The sequence below is a fragment of the Homo sapiens genome, chromosome 3 (assembly GCF_000001405.40).
Source record: "Homo sapiens chromosome 3, GRCh38.p14 Primary Assembly".
Lineage (NCBI taxonomy): Eukaryota > Metazoa > Chordata > Mammalia > Primates > Hominidae > Homo > Homo sapiens.
Genome location: NC_000003.12, coordinates 197,905,302 through 197,920,004, shown reverse-complemented (window position 1 = coordinate 197,920,004; position 14,703 = coordinate 197,905,302). Strand labels below are relative to the sequence as shown.

General features: G+C 45.0%; 1 protein-coding gene and 1 long non-coding RNA gene across 10 annotated transcripts in view, besides 4 other annotated features; one reads left to right on the top strand and one right to left on the bottom strand.

Moving 5' to 3' along the window:
- Positions 1 to 14,703, top strand: part of DRC9 (dynein regulatory complex subunit 9) — a 71,101-nt gene that overhangs the window by 40,173 nt on the left and 16,225 nt on the right. For 6 of the 9 annotated variants that reach the window (XM_024453790.2, NM_001323028.2, NM_032263.5 and 3 more), the window contains 2 exons: positions 5,963 to 6,124; positions 7,256 to 7,330. In XM_024453790.2, the coding sequence (XP_024309558.1) occupies positions 5,963 to 6,124; positions 7,256 to 7,330 (237 nt within the window). Of the gene's footprint in view, positions 1 to 5,962; positions 6,284 to 6,509; positions 6,606 to 7,255; positions 7,331 to 14,703 lie in introns of those variants that run through there. The other 3 variants (XR_007095755.1, XR_007095756.1, NM_001323030.2) reach the window with 2 other exon arrangements.
- Positions 6,160 to 6,791: an enhancer, noted in NCBI's record as "H3K27ac-H3K4me1 hESC enhancer chr3:197640085-197640716 (GRCh37/hg19 assembly coordinates)". NCBI's record gives its function as "activates a minimal SCP1, AML or CMV promoter by ChIP-STARR-seq in naive H9 embryonic stem cells {active_cell/tissue: H9 hESC(naive)}" and the evidence as "EXISTENCE:reporter gene assay evidence [ECO:0000049][PMID:30033119]".
- Positions 6,160 to 7,374: a biological region, named in NCBI's record as "BRD4-independent group 4 enhancer GRCh37_chr3:197639502-197640701".
- Positions 6,175 to 7,374: an enhancer, noted in NCBI's record as "BRD4-independent group 4 enhancer chr3:197639502-197640701 (GRCh37/hg19 assembly coordinates)". NCBI's record gives its function as "activates an origin of replication core promoter dependent on BRD2, P300/CBP, MED14 and CDK7 cofactors, and independent of BRD4, by STARR-seq in HCT116 cells {active_cell/tissue: HCT116}" and the evidence as "EXISTENCE:reporter gene assay evidence [ECO:0000049][PMID:35650434]".
- On the bottom strand, positions 9,674 to 14,321 carry LOC124906330 (uncharacterized). The gene is made up of 2 exons (XR_007096246.1): positions 11,567 to 14,321; positions 9,674 to 11,433 (listed from the first exon to the last, which is right to left on the bottom strand). It is a non-coding gene; the product is annotated as an uncharacterized LOC124906330 (long non-coding RNA).
- Positions 13,807 to 13,856: a silencer, noted in NCBI's record as "silent region_15094". NCBI's record gives its function as "represses an Ori minimal core promoter by ATAC-STARR-seq in GM12878 lymphoblastoid cells {active_cell/tissue: GM12878}" and the evidence as "EXISTENCE:reporter gene assay evidence [ECO:0000049][PMID:35858748]".

Sequence of the window (14,703 nt, the reverse complement as noted above, 5' to 3'; positions counted from 1 at the left end):
TGGTCTCGAACTCTTGACCTCAAGTGATCCACCCGCCTCAGCCTCCCAAAGTGCTGGGTTTACAGGCGTGAGCCACCGAGCCTGGCTGTAAATGTTAATTTAATAGAGAACTATTTTTTTCCTGTGGCTTTTGTCTCTTTAATAGACAACATTACCATTTTCCTTTTGCTACCCAACCAGAGGGGAAGCCTGAGGTCTAAGACAAGTGCCAACTTCCCAGATAGTAGCTTCCAAACTTCCAGGAACCAGTACTCCGTTCTGTACTTTATGTACAGTTATGAAAGCAGACACTACCATTAAAGCCCTTGGCTCACGTTATTATGGCAGCCATCACAGCCTTATTAACTCGAGTTGGTAGACTGCCTCTTTTTATTAGTAAATCATGCTTCTCTGAATTCGAATAACAAGTCCAGAGGTCCCGATCTGAAGGCAATTTTGGGATTTGGAAGTAATGTTTGGTCTGCCATGAAAACCCAAAACTGTGATGCATCAGTCCATGGACCTGACCACGAGGAAGGTTCCCGACACCATGGACAACTCGGATTCGAGGTTGTAGTGAAGGCAAATCTTTTCTTAGTGAAACTCTGAAAAGGAGCCTGTACCCCACTGCTTCTAGGCTGGCTGTTCTCACACACTGGGAAGAAGAGGACACGGAATAGCACTTCCGCTCGCTTGTTAGTATGCCTCGATCTTGGTTTTACCATCATAGCCTGTCAGGATTTTATATCTTTCTCTGTGTTTCCACACGGTCACCGTGGAGGGCCATTAAAATGTTTGTGCAAAATACCAATCCAGGAAGGAACTCAGGGTACTCAGAGGCCCATGGCAACGGCATTAAAACCAGATGCCTTTGGCTTGGCACAGCCAATGTTGTACGTCCTTATAAACACTTACATTGGCCGGGCATGGTGGCTCATGTCTATAATCCCAGCACTTTGGGAGGCCGAGGCAGGTGGATCACCTGAGGTCAGGAGTTTGAGACCAGCCTGACTAACATGGAGAAACCCTGTCTCTACTAAAAATACAAAATTAGCCCAGCGTAGTGGCAGGTGCCTGTAATCCCAGCTACTTGGGAGGCCGAGGCAGGAGAATCGCTTGAACCTGGGAGACCGAAGTTGCAATGAGCCAAGATTGCATCACTGCACTCCAGCCTGGACGACAAGAGCAAAACTCGGTCTAAAACAACAACAATAAAAAACACTTCCATGATGCAGTACCTTCTGTTTACCATGGGCAGAAGCTAAAGACTTTTAACTCTGCATTTCTGATCTTCAGACTGTTACTCTGAAGTCTTAATATTCCATTTGAGAAAGAAAAATTACCAGAACATGCTCTTGAGTTTTCAAAAGTATATTTTTGTATGTACGGACACTATTCAATAAATCCCTGTCTAACACTATTTAGATTCTGTGAGAAACAAAACTACAGTTATCAATGTGGGCTGAGGTTTTCTGCAAAAGGCTTTATTTACTTGAGTGATATATAAGGTGGACCTTGAAGGAAATCTAAGGGATTATATAGGTAAAAGGATTCCAGTTGATGAAGAAGTAAAACCATCACATTTTTGCTTTAACTCTAGTCTTCCTAAAGATTCAAACCTATACCAGGCACAGTGGCTCATGCCTGTAATCCCAGCACATTGGGAGGCCGAGGCAGGTAGATTGTTTGAGACCAGGAGTTTGAGACCAGCCTGGGCAACATGGCAAAACCCCATCTCTACCAAAAAAAAAAAAAAAAAAAAAAAAAGCAAAAAATTAGCTGGGTGTGGTGGCGTGGTAGCACGTACATGTAGGCCCAGCTACTCGGGAGGTTGAGGTGGGAGGCGGAGATTGCAGTGAGCCAAGATCGCACCATTGCACTCCAGCCTGGGCAACAGAGAGATCTTGTCTCAAAAAAAAAAAAAAAAGATTCACTGACTGCCATACAATTTGGAAATAGAAGGGAGGGAAGAGGAAGAAGGAGGAGAAATGGGCTGGGCATGGTGGCTCATGCCTGTAATCCCAGCACTTTGGGAGGCTGAGGCGGGCAGATCCCCTGAGGTCAGGAGCTGGAGACCAGCCTGGCCAACATGGTGAAACCCCATCTCTACTAAAAAGAAATTAAAAAATTAGCCAGGCATGGTGGCACATGCCTGTAATCCCAGCTACTTGGGAGGCTGAGGCAGGAGAATCGCTTGAACCCGGGAGGCAGAGGTTGCAGTGAGCCAAGATCGCACCACTGCACTCCAGCCTGGGCAACACAGCGAGACTCTGTCTCAAAAAAAAAAAAGAGAAAAGAGAAATGGGGAAGACAGGGGAGAAGGGAAGTGCGTATAGAAAGAATGGAAGAAAAACAGTGAGCCAAAAGCAGACATCTCTTAAAATTCATTTCATCAACATTTATTGAGCATATAAGTTGTGCCAGGCACTCCAGCCTGGGCAGGATTTTACAGATGAGAAAATAGGCTTAGTGAGGTCCAGTAATTTGCCTGCAATCCTACAACTTGTAAGAGAATATGAAATATTAAGACATATTTTCAAAGGGCCTATAGCATATTCTGTGCCAGAGATGCTCCGTCTCTTAGGAATGATTCCGATCTAGTTGGAATAACTGTCATACAATTAGAATGATTCTGCAGAGTTATATCAAGAAGCTAGTAGACAAAATAACTTGAAGAATTCCGTTCTGATTCATCTTAGGGACCTTTTTGAGACAGGGTCTTGCTCTGTTGCCCAGGCTAAAGTGCAATGGCATGAGCATAGCTCACTGCAGCCTCGGCCTCCGGGGCTCAAGGGAGTCTACCACTTCAGCCTCCCTAGTAGCTGGGACTACAGGCGCATGCCACCAGGCCCAGCTAATTTTTAAATTTTTTTGTAGAGACAGGTTTTCACTGTGTTGCCCAGGCTGCTCTTGAACTCCTGGGTTCAAGCGAGCCTCCTGCCTTGGTTTCCCAAAGCATTGGAATTACAGGCGTGAGCCACCCCACCAGGTTGGGGCCTAATGATACTTTAAGTCAAGCTTGTCCAACCTGTAGCCCGCAGGCCACATGCGGCCCAGGATGGCTTTGACTGGGGCCCAACACAAATTCGTAAACTTTCTTAAAACATTATGAGAGATTTTTTTGTGTGATTTTTTTTTTTTTTTAGTTCATCATTGGTGTATTTTGTGTGTGGCCCAACACAATTCTTCTTCCAGTGCGGCCCAGGGAAGCCAAAAGATTGGACACCGCTGCCTATGCTTGCTTTCCTTAACGGAGGATTTGTCCAATTACCACTTTGTTTTTTCTTCCAATGGTTACTTAGAATTAATTCCCTAGGTACTTGGGAGGCTGGAGAGAGGGGATTCCTTGAGTCTAGGAGTTCAAGACTACAGTGAGCTATGCTGGTGACACTGCACTACAGCCTGGGGGACACGGTGGACCCTATCTCAAGAAAGAAAAGAGGCTGGCTGCAGCAGTGGCTCCTGCCTGTAATCCTAGCATGTTGGGAGGCTGAGGTGGGAGGATCATTTGAGCCCAGGGTTTCGAGGCCAGCCTGGGCAACACAGTGAGACTCTGTTTCTACAATAATAATAATAATTAGCTGAGTGTGATGTCATGCACCTGTAGTCCCAACTACTCTGTAGGCTGAGGCAGGAGGATTTCTTGAGCCTGGGAGGTCAAAGTTACAGTGAGCCGTGATCATGCCACTGCACTTCAGCCTGAGTGACAGAACAAGACCGTCTCAAAAACAACAACAACAACAACAACAACAAAGCCGGGCGCAGTGGCTCATGTCTGTGATCCCAGCACTTTGAGAGACCAAGGCAGGAGGATCCCTTGAAGCCAAGAGTTTGAGACCAGCCTGGGCAACAGAGTGAGACCCCCATCTCTAAAAATATTAAAAAGTTAGCCAGGCATGGTGACATGCACCTGTAGTACTAGCTACTTGGGAAGATGGCTTGAGCCCAGGAATTGGAGGTTATAGTGAGCTGTGATCGAGCCACTACACTCCAGCCTGAGTGACAGAGGGAGATCCTGTCTCTAAACAAAAAAATTTTTTTAATACAAAAGAACTAATTCTACCCTACTTACATGGTTAAGACGAAAGGCAATTGGAGGCCAGGCGTGGTGGCTCACGCCTGTAATCCCAGCACTTTGGGAGACCGAGGCAGGTGGATCACCTGAGGTCGGGAGATCAAGACCATCCTGACCAATGTAGAGAAACCCCATCTCTACTAAAAATACAAAATTAGCTGGGTGTGGTGGTGAGCACCTGTAATCCCAGCTACTCAGAAGGCTGAGGCAGGAGGATCACTTGAACCTGGGAGGTGGAGCTTGCAGTAAGCCAAGATCATGCCACTACACTCCAGCCTGGGCAACAAGAGCGAGCCTCCATCTCAAAAAAAATGTAAAAAGAGAAGAAAGGCGGTTGGTATCTAGAGGAGCAGGTCTCGGGTTGAAGCACTTTTGTTGCTAGTCGTGTGCTTGTTTGCTGTGCCGTCAGGTCCCCTCCCTGTGGACTTACTCACACACTGATTCCGCCCAAACAGTTCTTTTCAAACAAATGTTACCTCCCTGACTAAAAGCTTTCCAAGGATTCCCATGACAGTTGGAATAAAATCTGAATTTCTCAGTTGGGTCTCCGGGGTCCTGTGTGGTGCCCTTACCGACCTCCAACCTCATCCTGTCCTCCCCTCAACCCTCACTAGGCTAGAGCCTCCGGAGCTTTCTTTCAGTTCCTGGAATGTATCCAGGTCTTGATTGCTTCAGGATTTGGGCATATACTTATTCTTTTTTTTTTTTTTAGAGTTCCCTTAACCCTATTTTTCTTTTCTTTTTCTTTCCTTTTTTTCTTTTTCTTTTCTTTTTTTTTTTTTTTTTTGAGACAGAATCTCGCTCTATCACCCAGGCTGGACTGCAGTGGCATGATCTCAGCTCACTTCAACCTCCACCTCCCGGGTTCAAGTGATTCTTCTGCCTCAGCCTCCCGAGTAGCTGGGATTACAGGCGCCCGCCACCACTCCCAGCTATTTTTCGTATTTTTAGTAGAGACGGGGTTTCACCATGTTGGCCAGGCTGGTCTCAAACTGCTGACCTCAGCTGGTCGCCATGCCTCAGCCTCCCAAAGTGCTGGGATTACAGGCGTGAGCCCCCGTGCCTGGCCAAGCCTATTTTTCATGTGGTGGGCTTACCTGTCCTTCAGGTATCGAATGAGCCATCGCTTTCCCGAGAGAGTCCTTCTCAGACCTTCCAGAGTCTAATGTACTCCTCCCTTGTTATTTCCTCCCACAGCCTCTCGAGCCTTCCTTTTCTATCATTTTGCACAATTTTTGGAAGTTTACACATGTGTTTGTCTCTTTTTAACCACCTCTCTTCTATTAGACTGTAAGCTCTATGAGGGAAGGGAATATGTCTGTTTAGATCTCCACAATTTTCCTAGCTCAGTGCCTGGTGCTGAATAAATATTTTTCTTAATGACTATTGAGTCCTCACAATTGCCAAGCACTTGGTGACCTGCAAAAAGAAAGCGTTTTCACACGTGTTCTCAAGGAAACCTAATAATCACTCTCTGAGATACTTCAGGCAGGTTGGGTGTTTGTATGTTTGTGTGTTTGTTTTATAGAAAGTAAAAAGTTGGAGATTTGACTTGGCCAAGTTCACACAGCTGGAGGCCTGGGTGGGAAGTCAGTTCTTTTGATCATTTTGACCAGTGTTCTTCCTACCAAAATGAGAAAGCTGTGTGGGACATACGGAGTACAGCAATAATGTGCCTGGGAACTAATCTCACAGCCCTGATGCGCCCTGATTCTTAGAAATGCTGTGTTACTCACTTTCATCTATACACTTCATGATTGTTGGCTAAATTTCCCATTGTGTGACAGCGGAAAAATAGTTCCAGTTCCTTATTGATTTATACGCATAAAAGGGAACCGTAAGCCGCTGACTGAACTGAATGGAGGTAGAATGTATTTTCAATTTAGAAACCTGGTCTTTCCACTACAGAGTCAGAATGAGTATATTGCTAACCTCAAGGACCAACTGCAAGAGATGAAGGCAAAATCCAACTTGGAGAATCGCTACATGAAAACCAATACCGAGCTGCAGATTGCCCAGACCCAGAAAAAGTGTAACAGAACAGAGGAACTCTTGGTGGAAGAGATTGAGGTAATCCCTGGGACATTAGCCAAGAACCCAGGAGATGGCAATTGAGCTGTCACTCCTGATCCCCTCTCAGCTAACAAAGGAGGGAGACAAAGATTTCCCTCCATCTCTATCGGCAACAGCCCCTCCACTTGAGGTTGAAAATAAAAGCCTAAATGAGGATATGCGTGTTCGCAAGCAGAGATTCCAGTGGGCTGTAGCCTCCATCTCCCGCCTCATAATGACTTTGAAAATTGGCTGCACTTTCTCTCCTTGGTCACTTCTTATTTTGGCAAACCAATCACCATTTTTCTGACTAATTATAGGGAGAGGGCAAAACGAGGTGCTTAGTTATGGCAGGATTTTGCTGCTGTTTCTTTCATCTAACCAGTACCTTTCACTCCTCCAGTAAGAAATACAGCATCGAGAGCGCTGAACTTCGTTCAAACCTGAGTTTATAGGATGAGAAGTCACGGTGAAAAATGCCAGGAGGAAGAAAGAAGTGGTAGATCTTCTTTGAGGGGAATGCTAAATGGCACACACGCACGCACGCACACACGCACGCACGCACGCACGCACACACGCAAAGCCAGGCACTAGTCCCAGCTAATCGGAGGTGAGGCAGTGAGGCAGGAGGATCCTTGAGTTTGAAGCCAGCCTGGGCAACTTCAGACTTCAACTAGGGAGACTCCCTTCTCACAAAAAAGAAAAGAAAACAAGAAAGAGCAGCAGGCAGATGGGAAGAGGGAAGCAGGAACAAACGTCCTTGGGCCGTGGAATCTGTGTGTGGGAGGACTCCTCGCTCTGAGACTGACGTGGCTCAAGGCCACGTCAACACTCTTCCTGGCACTCCGGAATCCCCCTTTTTAAGCCCCACAGCCTTGTGCCCTTGGAGCGCCGTTTCTGTCCTTCAGTGGGCACCTCTGTTCAGCTCACGGGATTGTGCTCGTCTCGTTAGGGACACACGCAGTCCACACAGTGCCGCGCCACGTGGCTCTGCAGTGTTGGTGAACAGGAGTTGCAGGGAACTGAAAGCCCGGGATCCCAGCTGGTAAAGGGAGCCTCAGCTACCGACCGAGCTGCTGCTCTCATCTTGAGAACTTCTGATTCCCAGCCCTGCGGGGAAGACGTACTGGTATCTGATTGTTCTTACAGAAACTCAGGATGAAAACCGAAGAAGAGGCCCGGACTCATACAGAGATTGAAATGTTCCTTAGAAAGGAGCAGCAGGTGGGTCCCCACAGCTTTTCTATGCTTTGACTTTTTTTTTGTACTCTGCTTATACTGAGGAAACAAAAAGAATATTTTGAAGGAAAACCAACCATCATTCTTTCAGCCTAATGAACTTTAGCTCATGTTTTCTTTCAGGGTTATGCATCTGAATAGATATCTTATATAGCTGTAATTTGAGAGAGTGCAGGTAAAATTTTGTTTTCTGCTTTTATCATTGAGCTTACATAAGAAATTTTTCGATTTCTATATTGCTGTATACTCATAATTTTCAAATTATGACTTAATTTATGACTTAAAATTTATTAAGTCAAATTATGACCTACAAATTTATGGGCTGGGCACAGTGGCTCACGCCTGTCATCCCAGCACTTTGGGAGGCCGGGGAGGGTGGATCACCTGAGTTCAGGAGTTTGGGACCAGCCTGACCAATATGGTGAAACCCTGTTTCTATTAAAAAATACAAAAATTAGCCGGGCATGGTGGTGCGCCTGTAATCCCAGCTATTCAGGAGGCTGAGGTGGGAGAATTGCTTGAACCTGGGAGGCAGAGGATGCAGTGAGCTGAGATCACGCCACCGTACTCCAGCCTAGGCAACAGAGCGAGACCCCGTCTCAAAAACAAAAACCAAAAAAAGACATAATTTTTAAATTAATTATTTTTAAATTATGACTATATTTAAAAATTTTTCCCAATAGTATAGTGGCCAATAAATAAAAAAGAAAAATAAATAAAGGCCGGACATGGTGGCTCACGCCTGTAATCCCAGCACTTTGGGAGGCAGAGGCCAGCGGATCACCTGAGGTCAGGAGTTCGAGACCAGCCTGGCCAACATGGAGAAACCCCGTCTCTACTAAAAATACAAAAATTAGCCAGGCATGGTGGCGGGCGCCTGTAATCCCAGCTACTCAGAAGGCTGAGGCAATAGAATCGCTTGAACCCAGGAGGCAGAGGTTACAGTGAGCCGAGATCATGCCACTCACTCCAGCCTGGGCAACAGAGCAAGAATCTGTCTCAAAAAAAAAAAAATTTACTAATCTTTTACACTATAAAAATAACATTCCCAGTTGAGTGAAGATTTTTAAAATTACTCATTGCTTTTCATTTTTTATGTTATTACAGTTTCTTTATAAAATAATTGAAAATTGTGTTTAACGTTCCATTGAATGGTTGTGCCACAGTTTATTTGTTACACTTTTTTTTTATATTTAGGTTGTTTCTAAAGTTTGTTATTATAAATAATGCACTCATTAAAGCTTTGCCCAAAGAACTGTTTTTCTTCATGGCAACTATTTACTAAAAGCCAATCTCAGTCATGAGATTTTTGTTTCAGAGACTAGTATTTTGTGACTTTTAATAAACATTGCTAATACTCTCGAATCTGTGCTGCCGTTAGCAGTGTTGCAGGCAGTAATTTCAAGGTCTCTTCAATATTAGTAGCCATTTTCAATATTTTTCAAAGTCTGCTAATTTAATGAGTTGTTTTATTTTTTATTTTTGCTTATTAACAGGTGAACATAACATTTTTCCACATGTTTACTCAATTTATTTCTTCTTGTGTGAAATATATATGACACGGTGGTTTTAAGAGCATTTTCAATACTAATAACCAAGCTGGGTCTATAATATATCTAAGGTTAGAATTATGTCTAAGTCTACCTGGAGTCTTTCTTTCTTTTTTTTTTTTTTTTTGTTTTGTTTTTGAGATGCAGTCTTGCTTTACTGCCCAGGCTGGAGTGCAGTGGCGTGATCTTGGCTCACTGCAACCTCGGCCTCCTGGGCTCAAGCGATTCGCCTGCCTCAGCCTCCTGAGTAGCTGGGATTACAGGCGCACGTCCAGCTAATTTTTGTATTTTTAGTAGAGATGGGGTTTCACTGTGTTGACCAGGCTGGTCTAGAACTCCTGACCTCAGGTAATCCACCTGCCTCGGCCTCCCAAAGTGCTGGGATTACAGGCGTGAGCCACCGTGCCCAGCCCCAGCTGGAGTCTTTCAAAATAACCCTATTGGATGAATAAAGAGAAAATTTTCCAGCTTAGTTATAATACAGCTTGCCTTTGGAAAAAGCTAATGAGTTTTCAGTCAAGGATTCCAAATGTGTGGTTAAAGAGGAGAATTTGTAGATGCTCTCTTGCAGGTCTTTACTGAAAAAAATACCTGGTAGGCTATTAGAATTAGGGTTCTGTAGCCCTGCACTTTAAGAATTATGTATCATGTTACCTGTTTCAAGTGTGAGATACCTGGCAGGTGTTGGATATTTATCAGTGAGTTGGTAGATAAATGGATCACGAAGGGATGACGCCAGAGTTTCCCAGATCTTCAGCCCAATAACACAAGCAATACATAAGTATATATTTTTTTATTTTTTATTTTTTAGGGACAGGGTCTCTCTCTGTTTCCCAGGCTTCAGTGCAGTGGTGCCACCATAGCTCACTGCAGCCTCAAACTCCTGGGCCCAAGTGATCCTCCCACCTCAGCCTCCTGAGTAGCTGGGACTACAGGTGTGCACCACCACGTCCAGCTACAATTTCAGACAGAAATACATAGGTTAAAGAAAGTGAAAGCCCTCTTAAATTACTCCCCTTTCTGAAGGGAAGTTTCTTCCACATGTATTTCTTTTCATATACATACTTATACCTAAAAACATACCTATTCTCAGTGGTGGTTTTTTGTTTTGTTTTGTTTTTGAGAGGAGTCTTGCTCTGTTGCCCAGGCTGGAGTGCAATGGCGCGATCTCGGCTCACTGCAACCTCTGCCTCCAGGTTCAAGTGATTCTCCTGCCAGCCTCCCGAGTAGCTGGGATTACATGCACCTGCCACCACACCTGGCTAATTTTTGTATTTTTGGTAGAGATGGGGTTTCACCATGTTGGTCAGGCTGGTCTTGAACTCCTGCCCTCAAGTGATCTGCTGGCCTCAGCCTCCCAAAGTGCTGGGATTACAGGCATGAGCCACTGCACCCGGCCTAGTATTTGTTTCTTAAGTAAATTGGATCATGCTATATATAGTGTTCCAGAGCCTGTTGTTTTCTTCTTACATTTACTTTGTTTTTAATGTTTTCTGTAGCAGTACAGCTGATTGATAGAATATATCTCACACTCAGAATATACTGAAATTTAGTGAACCATTCTGTCAGTAGATTTAGGTTGTTTCCAGGTTTTTCTGTGATAACATTGCGAAACCTTCTTGGTTCTGTCTCTAAGTGTATGGTATGTGGAAAGGTATTTCTTTTGTGTATTGCTGTGGATTTGTTAAACCCTCTAATGGTTTTTCAGTGGATTCATTTGGATTTCCTAGGTGGAAAATCTTACTGCATGCAAATAACAATTTTATATTATCCTTTTTATTATTTATATGTCTGTTTTCATTTCATGGCTTGTTGTCTAGCTAGAAAGTCCAGTGTACTTGTTGGTTGTAGTAGTGACAATGGGGAATCCTTTTTCTATTATTGGTTGTTAATACAACACCACTGTTCTGGTGTTTTAGTCAGGATTACACATGAGTTTGTCATAGTCATGCCAAGTTACTGATATGCAAGTTAGAGCACTCACAGGGAAAGAACAGGACCCTGAAACTTGGAATGAGAACACCTGCTCAGATTCGGATGAAACTGGCAAATCACTTTAAAGCTCCCTTGGCAGCGGAAGTACCCTGCCCTCCTGTGTCTGAGGACACCGCACTTCCTTTGCCTGAAGATCCTGTGATAACTTCATCTGGGAGGATGCCTTGGAAAGGGTTGCTCGCTCTTCAGACCTGGTACAGTCACCCCTGTGATAACTTCATCTGGGAGGGTGCCTTGGAAAGGGTTGCTTGCTCTTCAGACCTGGTACAGTCACCCCTGTGATAACTTCATCTGGGAGGATGCCTGGGAAAGGGGTCACTCTTCAGACCTGGTACAGTCACCACCCCTGTGATGACTTCATCTGGGAGGATGCCTGGGAAAGGGTTGCTCGCTCTTCAGACCTGGTACAGTCACCACCCCTGTGATAACTTCATCTGGGAGGGTGCCTTGGAAAGGGTTGCTCTTCAGACCTGGTACAGTCACCACCCCTGTGATAACTTCATCTGGGAGGGTGCCTTGGAAAGGGTTGCTTGCTCTTCAGACCTGGTACAGTCACCCCTGTGATAACTTCATCTGGGAGGATGCCTGGGAAAGGGGTCACTCTTCAGACGTGGTACAGTCACCCCTGTGATAACTTCATCTGGGAGGGTGCCTTGGAAAGGGTTGCTCTTCAGACCTGGTACAGTCACCCCTGTGATAACTTCATCTGGGAGGATGCCTGGGAAAGGGGTCACTCTTCAGACGTGGTACAGTCACCCCTGTGATAACTTCATCTGGGAGGATGCCTTGGAAAGGGTTGCTCTTCAGACCTGGTACAGTCACCCCTGTGATAACTTCATCTGGGAGGATGCCTGGGAAAGGGGTCACTCTTCAGACCTGGTACATTCACCCCTGTGATAACTTCATCTGGGAGGGTGCCTTGGAAAGGGATCGCTCTTCAGACCTGGTACAGTCACCCCTGTGATAACTTCATCTGGGAGGATGCCTTGGAAAGGGCTCACTGTTCAGACCTGGTACAGTCACCCCTGTGATAACTTCATCTGGGAGGATGCCTTGGAAAGGGTTGCTCGCTCTTCACACCTGGTACAGTCACCACCCCTGTGATAACTTCATCTGGGAGGATGCCTGGGAAAGGGTTGCTCTTCAGACCTGGTACAGTCACCCCTGTGATAACTTCATCTGGGAGGATGCCTGGGAAAGGGGTCACTCTTCAGACGTGGTACAGTCACCCCTGTGATAACTTCATCTGGGAGGGTGCCTTGGAAAGGGTTGCTCTTCAGACCTGGTACAGTCACCCCTGTGATAACTTCATCTGGGAGGATGCCTTGGAAAGGGTTGCTCTTCAGACCTGGTACAGTCACCCCTGTGATAACTTCATCTGGGAGGATGCCTTGGAAACGGCTCACTCTTCAGACCTGGTACAGTCACCCCTGTTGTCACTGGATCCATAACTAGGGTCAAATCTTAGCATGTTACAGTGGGACATAAAACTCAGATAACTAACTCAGAAGGAAATCACTTACACACCAAAAGAATGGTAAGATTTTGCTAATAAATATTGGAAGAAACCTGGGAAACATGTCGAGTTGATTCTAAGAGTGTTAGATCCAACAGGGTAGGCTATCACACTCCATTTGTTTAATTCATTGATATAGATGCACTTACCAGAGAGTCTGGATTTCATGGTTTAGCTTGAGCAGCAGGAGGTGACTCAACATTTGCCTACATTTGATGAGGTGGAGATGTCAGAGCTTCCCTGCTATGATTTGGGGGAGAGAATCCAAAGATGTAGGGAGACAGGAATGTCACAGTGGATTTATCATGTGTGACTTACACGTCTACCACCAAGCACCCATTCCTAACCATGAGAAGGCCCAGAAGACACTTCTTTACTAAGACATTGAGAAATAGAATAGTGAGGGGAGCATCTGCCTCTCTAAAAGCTCTGTGCTTGCTTTCCTACATAGGCAGGTGTGACCCTAAGGATGTTGTCATTGAGATGAGCTTCCTGGTATCAGTGGGGTGATGGGATCCTGAAGTGCCTCCGGATAATTGGGAGCACTTAATTGTCAGAGATAAGGTGGGCACATTTACCACGAAGGGCGGCAGAGATGTAATCAGAATGCCTTTGGCCACTGGGATTCTTGGCAATGGCTAATGAATGATGGTATCTCTAGGAACAAAATTGTTGGGCTGCCTACTCAAGTATAACAGAAAAAAATTCTGGGTCTGGTAGCCAGAAACCTGATTTGAATCACCACAGCAGAGAGTCACGGCCTCTCCCCTAGCTCTTAGGACTGAGTCAGTTCACAGCCCCAGGGCCCCTTTATGAACTGGGGTGTGAGGGTGTGGGGGGATTTCCCCCAAAGAATGAACTCTGCAGCCCTGCTGCAAGTACCTACTGTAAGTCTCCCTCTAGGCCCTACTCAGAAGACCTGTGCTATTTACAGAGTGACTGTGCACTGGGGAAAGCAAACTACCCAGGCCTTCTGAGATGACTGAAGCATTGGCTCTGAATTGATGTTCATGCACGGGGACCCAAAGTGACAGCGTGGCCACTAGTCAAAATGGGAGATTAATGGTGGTTAGGTGACAGATACCTTACTAAAAGTTTTTTTTGTTGTTTTGTTTTGTTTTCCTAATCTGGATGCGTACTCAATTAGGGAAAAAAAAAAAAGAAAAACAGTTTTTTTGTCCATTGAGTTATTTTTTCTCCTTTAATATGTTAATAAAGTAGAATACATTGAGAGAGTTGCTGATTTGAGTCATCTTTAAATTCCTGGGATAAACCCTACTAGGTCATAACGTGTTTGGCCAGCAGGAATCCTCCTGCGCGGTCTCAGTAAAACGTGTGGGTGGACAAGTGCGGCCGGGTGTCCCACCCACATACCGCTGGCAGCCGCACTCTGGTGACCGGACAGTGAGACGCCCTCCTGTCGTGTGCCTCCAGCGCCCTCTACTGACACAGCTTAGCATTTTGTCAGCTGGCAAGAAAAACGTTCACAGCAAGCATCCACTTTCACAAAGCAAAGAGGTGGATTTGGAGCTGACAGGCAGTAAATTGGTAACTGCCACAAATGAGTTTTTTTTTTTTTAATCATCAACTGTGAGATTTACTCTGTAGGTTTCTGGTAGACAAGCTTTATCAACTTCAGGAAGTATCTTTTTTTCTTGTTAAAAGTTTTTCTTCTCATCAGGATGAGTACTCAATTTTGAGATGGATTTTTTTTTCATTAATTGAGATGATATTGTTTTCTCTTCTTTAATATGTTAATAAAGGGAAATACATTAATAGACTTGCTGATGTTGAGTCATCTTCAAATTCTTGGGATAAACCTTACTCGATCATAATGTGTTATTCCTTTTTTTTTTCTTCTGAGATTGGAATTTTGTTCTTGTTGCCCAGTGGCACGATCTCAGCTCACCGCAGCCTCCGCCTCCCGAGTTCAAGTGATTCTCCTGCCTCAGCCTCCCGAGTAGCTGGGATTACAGGCGCCTGCCACCATGCCTGGGTAATTTTGTATTTTTTTTAGTGGAGACAGGGTTTCTTATGTTGGTCAGGCTGGTCTCAAACTCCTGACCTCAGGTGATCCACCCGCCTCAGCCTCCCGAAGTGCTGAGATTACAGGTGTGAGCCATCACACCCGGCCTGTTATTCCTTTAATAGACTGCTGAAAAACTGATTTATAGACTTAAAATTGTTTCTATTTTAAACTCTTTTCTTTTTCTAATTTTTAATTTTTGTGGGCACATAGTAGGTGTATATACTTATGGAGTGCATGACGTACTTTGATACAGGCGTGTGACACGTGG